Source organism: Homo sapiens, chromosome 12 (assembly GCF_000001405.40).
Source record: "Homo sapiens chromosome 12, GRCh38.p14 Primary Assembly".
Classification (NCBI taxonomy): domain Eukaryota; kingdom Metazoa; phylum Chordata; class Mammalia; order Primates; family Hominidae; genus Homo; species Homo sapiens.
Genome location: NC_000012.12, coordinates 126,424,317 through 126,437,029, shown reverse-complemented (window position 1 = coordinate 126,437,029; position 12,713 = coordinate 126,424,317). Strand labels below are relative to the sequence as shown.

The 12,713-nt window shown below is 40.1% G+C and overlaps 2 long non-coding RNA genes across 2 annotated transcripts in view; one reads left to right on the top strand and one right to left on the bottom strand.

Annotated features, from left to right (window-relative positions):
- Positions 1-12,713, top strand: part of LINC02825 (long intergenic non-protein coding RNA 2825) — a 48,536-nt gene that overhangs the window by 12,298 nt on the left and 23,525 nt on the right. The window lies entirely within an intron of this gene.
- Positions 2,803-10,884, bottom strand: LINC02350 (long intergenic non-protein coding RNA 2350). The gene is made up of 3 exons (NR_146291.1): positions 10,828-10,884; positions 9,763-9,830; positions 2,803-3,155 (listed from the first exon to the last, which is right to left on the bottom strand). It is a non-coding gene; the product is annotated as a long intergenic non-protein coding RNA 2350 (long non-coding RNA).

Genomic DNA, 12,713 nt, shown 5'->3' with positions numbered 1-12,713 from the left:
ACAGAAAGGGCATGTTGAGCGGGGAACTTCATTTCTGCCTGATTCCTGCATGTCTGGGGGAGACAGTGCATCAGAGCCCCACTGTCCACAGGTTGTTTATTATGTTTGTCTTCCTTTGCATTTTTTTTCTGTTTGTTGTTTGTCAGTGAATCCTCTCCTGATCACATTGAATCCTGTTGGACTTTTTTGTACATGTCCTGCCCACTCTTGTGCCATGGAGACACCCCCCAGCATTCTATTTTCTTCGCCTTTTGATCTCTAGAGTAGCTGTTTTCAAATCGAGTCCCACCACTGCACATGGCTTCAGTGAAGTATGACCAACAGTCCCAAGAGACAATTTCCCCTTCAGGGTTCTCCAACAGTAAAATTCACCAGGCAAAGAGTGCCCCATTAATCTCTTCGTCATGTGTTGTTTTTAATTTTTACAAAATACACATAACAAAATTTACCATTTTAAGCACTTTATTTTATTATTATGTATGAGCCTGGGTCTCATTCTATCACTCAGGCTGGAGTTAAGTGGCACAATCTGGGCTCAATGCAGCTTCAGCCTCCCAGGCTCAAGCAAGCAATTCTCCCACCTCAACTTCCTGAGTAACTGGGACTACAGGCATGCACCACCACACCCGGCTAATTTTTGTATTTGTTTTGCAGAGATGGGGTTTCACCACCTTGCCCACACTGGACTTGAACTCTTGGGCTCAAACAATCCTCTCGCCTCAGCCTCCCAGAGTGTTGGGATTACAGGCATAAGCCACCATGCCTGGCCAAATTTAAGCATTTTAAAGTGTATGCTGCGATGGCATCAAATGCATTCATAATGTTGTGCAATCATTACTAGTATGTAGTTTCTAGAAATTTGTGTCACCCAAAGAAAAACCTCCTACCCATTAAGCCATCACTTCCTATTCCTTTCCTCCCTAGTCCTTAGCAATGACACATCTGTTTTCATCCCTGTGGATTTGCTTCTTCTGGATATTCCATATGATAAGAGTCTATTATCTAGAATATATATATATATATATATATTTTTTTTTTTTTTTTTTTTGAGACAGAGTCTTGCTCTGTTGCCCAGGCTGGAGTGCAGTGGCTCAGTCTCCACTCACTGCAAGCTCTGCCTCCCGGGTTCACACCATTCTCCTGCCTCAGCCTCCCAAGTAGCTGGGACTACAGGTGCCCACCACCACGCCCAGCTAATTTTTTGTATTTCTTAGTACAGATGGGGTTTCACTGTGTTTGCCAGGATGGTCTCGATCTCCTGATCTCGTGATCCACCCGCCTCGGCCTCCCAAAGTGCTGGGATTACAGGTGTGAGCCACCACACCCGGCCTATCTAGAATATATTTTAAAATTCCAACTCAGAAAAGACAAATACCAGTTTTTAAATTGACAAGGTAAATATACGTTTCTCCAAAGAAGATGTACAAATGACCAACAAATATATGAAAAGATTCTCCATGACATCACTCATTAGGAAAATGCAAATCAAAACCATATTGAGATATCACTTCACACACACTAGGATGGCCATGAAAAATTGAAAAGCAAAAGAAAGAAGGAAAGACAGGCAGAAAAGAAAAAAGAAAGAGGGAAAGAAAGAAGGAAAATGGCAAGTGATGGTGATGATATGGAGAAATTGGAGCCCTTATTCATTGCTAGTAAGAATGTAACATGGTGCAGCCTCTATAGAAACAGTTTGTTGGTTCCTCAATAAGCTAAACGTAGAGTTATCATATGGCCCAGCAATTCCACTCCTAGGTGGGTACCCAAAAAAATGAAAAACAGGGTTTCAAACAAAAACTCCTATGGCCCATCCGTCTTGCAGCTGACTTCCTCTCTTTTGAGTAAGGGATTGTTCCTGGGACCCTGGGTGCTGTAGAATCCTTGAGAAAATACTGGTAGTCCCAACTGCATTTGCCTAGTTTCTTTCCCTAGTTTTCTGTGTTAATGATGCTCTCACAAATATCACAAATATCATTGTGCCTATATGTTTTGTTACTTTTTATTTTGTTTGTTTTTGGGTTTTTTTGGTTGCTGTTTGTTTGTTTGTTTGTTTTTGCCAGGCTCTCAGTGGTGGGGCTGGGGAAGCCCAGGAGAAGGGGACTGAGCTGTGTGCGTGATAGAGCGAGATATCCTGCAATGAGAAGCTGCAGGGTCTGGATGCACAAGTGAGCAGGGCTAGAGTGTGATCATCTATCACGATCCAGGGACTGGCAGAGAAAACAGGTCCAGTGCTTTAGAGGATGGGCAGCTGCTGTAGCCTTTTCTGCTTAATGGGCAGGAAAATATAAACTCAAGAAACAATGGGCAGAGAAAAGCCCCAGAGGGTGAATGAATGTGTTCTTCTTCACTGAGTACAGTAAATCAGGATTTAAGATGCAAACCAGGCCATTGTGGGAACCCAAGATCAAATGCATTGTTTCATTAGACAAGATACGAGTGTCAAAAGACTTTCCTGTACACTTGAGCGATTTCATTCAGCACCCATTAAATAAAGACAAAGTTGGCTGAGAGGGTAGATGACAATAGTGACCACCTCAATCAATAGTAATTAAATGGTCTTTGATTTACTAATCTTTTTCTCATGTACCTAAAATCTAATTTCATTGGGAAAACTAAGTTAAAACTACTTTAATTCTACCTAAATAAACTAAACTAAAAGACAAATGCATTTATAGATAAAATGTAAGTCCTGGGGGAAAAAGAATAACAGTTATTTATTTTAGAAAGTTCCCTGCTTATTTCTGAGTGTTGAGTGGGAAAACATACCAAAGCTTAGGCATACAAAACCTGCTTTAGGATTAAAAGTTTCCTTGAAAATGTTCAGAATTTTATTCTTAACCATTAATTATGTAACAAGAGCAAAGTCAATTTAATCTCTTTAAGCAGCATAGAATAAGATCATTGCCAATGCCATGAGGAACCTTCCAGAGCAGTTCTGCCCCTTTGGAGGAAGCCAAGAAGGACCCAATCCATCATCACAGAGGCACATGGACTGAGGGCGTATAAGGGAGATTGGGCAAGGTTAGAACTTGCAAGTCCTTGTGGTCTATGGTGGGGAACTTGAGGTTGGCTCTGTATTGTGCGATATGTCATTGGAGAGTTCCCAGCATGGAAGCAATATGACTGGTTACTCCAGGCCTCAGTTTCCCCATCTGTAAAATAAAAGACTACGGTGAACTGTATTCATTACTTTCCATCTCTAACATCTGTAATTTCAGGGAGGAGGATGAACTGAATAAGAGCAACATAAAGAGAAAGTAACAGGCTTCATGAATCCAGAACTAAGTTTGCAGAATTGCAAAGAAAGGTGTGTGTGTGTGTGTACACATATACATATGCACATATACATATATACACATATGCACATACATGCATACATACATATTTGTCTCAGTAAGAACCTGCTTATTAAAATGTTTGTGCCTTTCAGAGGGTGAAGGGTTGGCAGAGGGAGGGGATCAGGAAAAATAACTAATGGGTACTAGGCTTAATACCTGGGCAATAAAATAATCTGTACAACAGACACCCATGACACAAGTTTACCTATGGAACAAACCTGCACTTGTACCCTGAACTTAAAAATAAAAAATAAAATGCTTGTGTAATAAATAAGAAACCATTAGCACATGCGCAAATCGCAAATAGCTTGGAATGTTCAGAAAATCTTAAGTTCAGAGAAAGGCACTGAAAGAAAGTAGTTACACTTCTCATATGGCCCTAAATCAGTAAATGTCAATTATTTTAGCCCCAGGACCCCTTTATACTGTTACATATTATTAATAACTCTAAAGGACTTTTATTTATTGAGGGTCCTATCCATCAATATTTATTATATTAGAAATTAAAACAGAAATGCCTTTGATGCCTGTTTTTAAAAATACTAAATACATTACATGGTAATATAAACAGCCTATTTTTATAGAAATAACTTATTCCAAAAAAGTGAGGGAGGAGAATGGAAGTATTTTGCATGTTTACTAATCTCTTCTTTGTACAACTTAATAGGAAACAGCTGTGTGTGTGTTCATTCTGTTGCAGTATCTTGTAGCCTCTGAGAAACTCCACTGCACACTCATGGGAGAAAGAGTAAAAGAGCAAATAGCATCATGGTGTGATTACTAAGAAGGTAGTTTCTGGCAATCATCAGGGATAGAGTATCAGCTTGGCGTCTTTAGTTCCAGAGTTATTGTGCCTTGCAAATTTCTTAACTTTCTATTCTAATTAAATTAACAAAACATGTTCAAAAATTTATCAGGATCACACGTTCAAATGTCTACAGAGGCCAGGGAGGAGGATTGCCCGAGTCCAGGAGCTCAAGATCAGCCTGAGTAACACAGGGAGACCCTGTCTCTACTAAAATCATTAAAATATTATCCAGGTGGGGTGGCATGCACCTGTGGTCGCAGCTACTCAGGAGGCTGAGGGGGATCAGCTTGAGCCTGGGAGGTCGAGGCTACAGTGAGCTGTGATTGCACCACTGCACTCCAGCTTGGGTGACAGCGGGATATCCTTTCTAAAAAAAAAAAAAAAAATCAACACCACAAGTGTCTACAATCACTCAGTAGATAACACACATGAGTGAAAGTACACAGTGCAGCAACATGGACCTCTAAGTAGGGGACACTGGTGAACTTGAACATTCATGCCGCCGAAAGGATGCCTGTTACTCAGCTCCCGTACATGTGCCCATGGGATATGTGAACTCAGTATTGCCTGTATTCCAGTATTTCAAAAGAAGCCGTGCATTTTTGAGTGTCTGTCTGTGTGTGTGGGCTTAGTATCTCTTATTTTTCATAAGTGAGAACAATGGGATAAAAATCATCAAATGATGATTTTTTTGCCTCCTAGGCTAAAGAGCATACATGTATTAATCGTTTGCCTCTTTTGTCTTTTTCTAATTGCAAAAGTAACCCATCTTTGTTGAGCCAAGGAATGGAGTCCCAAAGGCTGCGGGCAACATCTGCTCTCTACAGAGCTCTTCTCTGTGCTGATGCTTCAAAAGCCCACAGTAAGACACTACTGTGTTCTCTTTGTAAAGACCTGGAGTTATTTCTCAAACGTCTTTGTAGACAGCTGATGAAGTACAAAACAAACCCAGGCCTATTTGGAAGTAAGCAGGAATTAGCATATCAGCAGCTGTGGCATCTCTTCAGACACATAGCAACAGGGATGTCTGCTGAAAAAACCAAGGTAGAGAAAAGACCTTTGCAGAATCGTGAGTTCACTTCCAGCAGGCTAGAGCGGAAAAGAGGCCGTTGCTTCTCGTAGAAGTACTTTTGAGGAAGGAGAAATGGTGGTGGTTTTAATTAAAATAGAATCTTTGCTTATGGTTAAAAAACATGACACTGAGGTATTTTAAAAAGTTTTCCCTGCGAGGGAGGAACGTTTCTTCACTTTAATATTTTCTTTTTTTCCCTTGCTGCTCTAAGATAACTGTGCATTTTCACAGTCATATGTAGATTAGGATTAGTAAAAGCATCCTGTATTTTTTAAGGTCATCAGAATATAAGCCCAAACAAGAAGGGAAAATGTGAGAATTATTTTTTTTTTTCAGGGCTTTAATCCCAGCATTGGGAGCCCACTGAGGTGGTGTTTTAGAAACTCAGGGAGGACTGACCTCAGTGCCCATAATTAGAAATGAAATGCCACATTGCTGACTCTGTAGAGAAGCAAAGGATGCAATTATTTACACACCTAGGACAGATGTGTTTTCTCCTCTCAGCAGGCCAGGGAGAAATTCCCTGCAGAAAGATTTTTATCAATCAAAATTGTATGCCAGTCATGGATACAATGAAGATGGTAAGAGCAATATCTTTTTCTCTCTCTCTGAGTCTCGCTTTCTCTCCCTTCCATGTCCTGTTACAATTATTTCCCAACAGATAATCTTGTTACACGTTTCAGATCTCTGAGTCTTGCAGCCTGTTATTAAGGTTTCACAATGCTCAAGCTAACATTAAGTAATGGAGACTCAGAGAGCTGAGCTCCAAGATGGAGGAGCAGAACTGGACACTGCCAACAAGGCTTTGCTCTTACTATCAGCTTCCATGGAGTCAGACATAGGATGTCACTGGAGCCAAGAAAGGTCAAGACAGAGACCTGTAGCAGAGCACTCCAGGGAGCAGCCAAGGCCCTGGGGTGAGTGCGTAGAGGCAGGAGACGAGGAGGAAAATGAGATGAAGGCAAAGGTGCACATTGTGGAACATTTGGAAATCACAGATAAGGAGAAGGAAGAAAATAAAAACTGCCAGCTGTTCTAACAGTCAGAGACAGCCTCTGTTACGATTTGGATTCAAATCTTCTAGTCTTTTACTCTTTGCATTTTGGAGTCAAGAAAATAATTCTGTTGTAAACAATAGTTGATAACATGTTTGTTTTTTAATATCATGCATATCTTTTTCTATTAGTATTTTTCAGCAGTACCTTCTTTTTAGTGGCTGGCTAATATTACATTATATAAATGAGCTATGTTTTATATACACCAGGAACCATGAACTTAAATACTTCAATATCCAGACAGGTGATGGAAATGATTGAAGTAATGATTAAGTGTATATCAATAGAGTGATGGGTACTGGAATAAACAGGAAAATGCTTACACAGTCTAAGGAAAGCAGTTCATATTTTACCGTGGCCAATTTCTGTCATGTTAAGATGCAGTGTTTATGGATGTTCTGGTGTTTTGAGGCAAACCAACATTCCAGGATTTATTTTAAAAGCATATTTATAAATATTGGCAAGTAAATGAACTTTTAAAAAAAATCACTGAGTTGGCCACAGAAAAAATACCTCTAGGCTGTATTGTCCTCCTAGCTTCCAGTTTGCAACCTTGTATGCATTTAACTCAAATTTGACTCATTCATGAATTTTAGACATTTAGTTTGTTCCCAATTTTTATTTTAAGCAATGTAAAAAGAACCAAAATATGTGAATAAAATCTTAGGGTTAATATCGCAAATATAAGACAGCTAGATTAAAGGTTATATATTGTTCAAGTTTTTGAAACATATTGCAAAAGTGCCTTAGGAAAAGTTTCACTAATATACAATCTCCCCATGTTATGGTTTGGCTGTGTCCCCACCCAAATCTCATCTTGAATTGTATCTCCCATAATCCCCATGTGTCATGGGAGGGACCCAGTGCAAGGTAATTGATTAATGAGGGTGGGTTTTTCCCATGCTATTCCTGTAATAGTGAATAAGTCTCATGAGATCTGATGGTTTCATACATGGCAGTTCCCCTACACAGATTCTCTTGCCTGCTGCCATGTAGGACATGCCTTTGCTCCTCCTTTGCCTTGCACCATGATTGTGAATCTTCCCCAGCTATGTGGAACTGTGAGTCAATTAAACCTCTTTCCTTTATAAATTACTCAGTCTCGTGTATGTCTTTATTAGTGACATGAGAAAAGACTAATGCACCCCAGCAGTTTGTACTAATATCCAATGTACTTTTCAAGCTTGGATTATTAATATTCTGTGTGTAAAATTATATATCTAATTTAAAATATTATGAGTATAAATGTACCTGTAATGTGTTTTGTTATTGAAAATGTTGAGGTTTATTTTTCAGTTCTATTTCTTCTTTGGTAAAGAAGAAATACCTACTCACATTTTAAATTTTGTTTTGTTTGTTTCTTTTTTATTTCTAAGAGTTCTTTATATATTTAGGATATTATTGAAGGATTGCCATTCCACACCATATTTGAAAACATCTAAAATCCCATCTTAACACAGATTTAATATTTAACCATATGCACAAACTATTTCTCAAAATGATTTTCTTTTTATTGAAAATGTTCCAAGATTTGAAACACATGACATTTTATTCAAAAATTAAAGCCTGCAATTTGAGAATCAGGCCATCTGTAGATGATCAGAGATGCTCTTACATACAACATTGCTACTTGTGCAAAGTGAATATATCTCATTTCAGTGATAAGAAAAAACAAGGTCAGAGGGATAAAAAGGAAGCATGAGGAAAATAAAAAATCAGATTAAAATCTTACTTTCCCCAGGGAACAACTGAGCCTTCCTCACTTTGAAATTAGTGCGTGGAGCCCGATGACGTCATACACATGTCTGGTTTGGGGTGCCTGTCACTGAAGAGCTGTTGCTAAGTCATCTAAGAGTTTTGGGTAAATTCTTCCATCAGGACTCTGTCTGTGAGAGTTCATGATTCAGCCTCCTCGACTTCCCTGTACTTAATTAACACCTCTGGATCCCCGTGTGATTTCTGAAGGCAAGGTCCAAACACTCCCAGGCTCCCAGGCTCCCAGGCTCGGTGCATCTCATGCCTTGACTACCCAGGCTCTTTCTTATAGGAATTCACTCTCTATCTTTAGAAAAAACCCTTCCCAAACTTTAATTCAGACCCTCTTCCAAAGTGGAACCTGCAACACCAGGTATCATGGCACCACTCACTTTCATTTATTTCCTGTGCATTGGTGTTGATGTATAATATCATTATCACAAGGAGGGGATCTTTTAAGCAAGGCTGATGTAGACGTAACTACTCATCCTGAGATATCTTCACCCACCAGGTTAGACTCAACTAACATACTTGGATCCCGTAATTTTTGTCCTTAGAAGGATGTAGTCTCCCCAGTATTGCTTCTTTATTTTCTTGCCTGTATTTTCATACCATTTCTTACTAAGATGTCTTCCCCTAAACCTACTAATTTAATACAACCTATTTAAAATTATACTAGGATTCTTATATTACCACATACTAATGCCTCTAAAGCCCTTCAAACAAATAAAACATTTACTAATAACCTACCTTCACTAAGTAGATTTCCCTTCTGGTCTATATTATCCAACTTTGTACACCACCATTTCTCCATTTTACACTTAAGCAATATCCAACTAAATTTGATGTAGAAAGAATTGAGATCAACCTGTGAAACACAGAAAGGGCCATGCATGCATCTGAGGTTTCTGTGCCATGCTGTTTCATAGTTTTACTCCTTTGCTCACAGATTTCCTCTTTTTGGAAAATCTCTATATTTTCTGCCTGACATTCTTCATAATCTAACTTGGTTCTCATTGTTTCTGGAAGCTTTATCTGAACTCCAAGCTGAGCTAGGTACCCCCTTTCTAAGTCTGCATAGTACCCTTTATATAAACCTAATGTATGCGTCTGTCAATTTTTAGTTTCTGAATATTTTTTATGTAAACTATAAGCGTGCGGAAAGGTGTTGGGTGTCATGTATCCTTTATCTCCGTGTCCATCAAAGCCCATGGAACATAATAAATCTTGGGACTAAACCAAGGGGATTCATTAGGATCATTTTTGAAAGCTCCTTCAGCTCTGATATTTTATTCTACCTATCGGGTAAATGACCAGAGAAGGAACTATTATTCTTAGTTTAAGTTGTATATAATGTCAGGCTTCTGGCTCAAGCTTTATTCACAGTATAGTCAATAGAATCTTCTTATGATTTATTGAATCTGCTTAGCTCATGTGAACTTAATTCATCACTATAAGCCCAGAGAGCTCCGACCTTCCATCAGATTTGGGAATTGTGCCACCGTGGATGTATTGTTACTATTTTAGAATCTAATAACAAACATTTCTGCCTCCTATACAGTAGCCTCGGGCTGAAACAGAGGAACTCTATTTCTGGATTTTGTTGCCTGGAAAAACAGCCATTTCTATATTACTGGTTTGGGCTTTTGAGAACGAATTGGAAAGACATATTTTGGATTAGTCAGGGGGTTTATCACCAACTACCAATACACACTAAATTCATAGTAGTACCTGTAGCTTGGTTCTGGCAAATTTGTTCTGCCTTGTAACTGCAGATGTGGAGCAAGTGGCTTCTGGGTCTTTGTAGCAAGGGAAAAGAGAGAGAGATAAAAAAGTACATCAGCTTTTAAATACCTCATTCCAGAAGTGATAGGCATCACTTGCTTTCCCAGAGTGAGTCACATGACCCCCAGTTTAGCTGTGGGTGAATCTGAGAAATAAAAATCTCACTGATATATGTATGTTTCTATCTCTGCCACACATTTCCAGATATTGAGACATTATAAAACACATTCTAATTTTTTTTTTTTTTTGAGACAGGATCTTGCCCTATTGCCCAGGCTGAGTGCAATCATGTGATTATGGCTCACTGCAACCATTACCTCTTGGGCTCAAATAATCCTCCCGCCTCAGCCTCCTGAGTAGATGGAATCACAGGCATGCACCACCCTGCCAGGCTATTTTTTAATGTTTTTTTTTTTTTTGTAGAGACAGGGTCTTGCCATGTTGCTCAGGCTGGTCTTGAACTCCTGGGCTCAAGCAATCCTCCTGCCTTGGCCTCCCAAAGTGCTGGGATTACAGGTATGAGCCACCACACTCGGCAATCATATGGATTCTAACATCTCACCTAGAATAAACCTTGTGCCTAGAGAAGAAATCCCTTTCAGTCTTCTAGGTTCTAGAATCTAGAGTTTGAGAACTTGACTTTCCCTTATCTGTACAGTAGCCTCTCACTTCAGACACAGGAGTTTTTGCACTTCAAGTTGTCCTAGTATATTAATTATTTTGGGCACAGTAAAACAAAAAGGATGTTTGTATGAAGAAGCAGATTGAGATAGAGCTTGTGGTGAAGAAATATCCTCTTTCTTTGCTTATTTTAGGTCTTTTGACTGGATCGGTTCCTCTAATAGGCTTTTAATGACTGTTCCACCTGATATCTGGGTGTGAGTCCCTGTGCTCACTCCCTTAATTTCCTGGAAGACAAATCAATTAAGCCCCAGGCCTTACTGACCTTGCCTTGTTGTCTGTCTTATGCTGACAACTAGTATTTTATTAACACGCTTGGAGAGGGCTCACCCCAATTTGTTTCTCCAGATGTTTTGGTCATCCTACATCAGAATAAGACAAATTCTGCCTTCAAGCAGCCCCATAGTTTAATGCCAGATGATGTGAAGCCTTGTTTCAGATATCAAGGACTCCGCCCGGGGGAGGGGGCGACCTCTATTGCTGAGCTTCTCAGATTTATTTAGAATCGTGATCCTTAGTGACTGCAGGAAGCCTCATTTGTTGTTTAATACTCCGGGTTCATGATGAAGGTGCATACATTAACAGGTACCGAGGGTCATTGTGACCCAGGTGGAGGCTTCACAATGTCCTACAATGTCAGGGCAAGGAATTGGCCCATGCTGAACCAGTGCTGTGCTGAACTGTGCTCCTGTTGGAAAACAGAAACGTCCTCTCAGTGCATGTCGTCTCGGGATAAACCATGCCTGCTTTATTAATGTGTTTACTGAGCACCTGGTAAAGTGCATGGCACAGAAGTGGGGTTCAATAATGAATGTGTCCATGCATAAATGAAAGCCCCTATGATGAGAAGAAAAAAACATATTGGTTTTGCTTTTTTCTACCTTCTTAGATTTTAACAATTCAAAATACTCAAGAAATTTTAGTGGGGATGTCAACGCGTTGCTCCGAAACCAATAGGGAAACACCTCTAGTCTAAGCTGCACCATTTTCTAAGCACCCTCCGCCCCCACACCATTTCACAGACCTTGGCCAAAGTGAGACATTCCACAGGGGCTCGGGCAATGACAGCCTGCCCAACTGCCTGACTTTATCACCTTCTGGGGGAAGAAGTGCAAGGAACATCACATTCCGTCAGAACAGGGGCCAAACCGCCTCATCATGGGAATTTGTTATCAACATTTTTCCAGGCAGCAGACCATGCCCCTTCCTCTCTGAGAGCCCTCTCATCCAGGCCTATAATTGCCCCAGCCTGTAAGCAGCAGTGGGCATTAAGCTGGTCCCCCACCTCTGCCAGTCTTATGCTGGACATAGAACCTGCATTTGCTGTAGAGCCGCCAACTCTCTCTGTGTGTCTTTCTTTAACCCCCACCTTCCCTTCAAAGCCTAACAAACATCTTCCTCTGGCTGCCATGGGTCACTTAAAGGGGCCTTGTGCGTGTGTCTCCACTCACCATTTCTTGTTTTCCCAGAGACTGCACAATTCTTTCAACGGAGTTATTAAGAAGGTTTTTTCAGAGCCTGATTGCTTGGGTTTTTATGTTTATTCTGTAACTTCCTGGCTCAGTGTGAGACCTTGGATAATTTATTCAATCTCTCTGTGTCTTCGAGTACTCACACACAGAATGGGATTCATAATAACATTCATATTTCATTGGGGGATTAGTCACAAGCTGACTATATCTGCTGACTGAATCCTGGCCAGCTCCCACCAGGTGGCCGTGTCTACACAGCACTCTCTTTATGGTACTCTTCTCCTGGTTCCAGAAACTTCCCTGAGCCCTTGTCCCTTTAGAACTAGGGATGACAACAATGTTCCTTACTGCTGCTGTCCTCAGGATACTGCATTTTGGGTTTCCCTGTAATAGTCCTACCCACTGATCCTCATTATTTATGGATTCTGCATTTGCAAATTTGCTTACATGCTAAAATTTATTTGTAACCCCAAAATCACTATCTTTGAATAAGGTGAAACTCAGCCTTCTTGTTTAAGCTTTCATGCTGTACATAAGTATCTTTTTGTGGTCTATCAAATGCCACTTTTTTTTTCATTTTTATGCGTTATGTTGATGACTTTACTGTTATAAATGACACCCAAGCACACTGCTCAAGTGCTATTTAGTGTTCTCAGGCTCAAGAACGTTGTGATATGGCCTATAGAGATGTGTGTATTAGATCAGCTTCTTAAAGGCAGAAGTTACAGAGCTGTTGGCCATGTC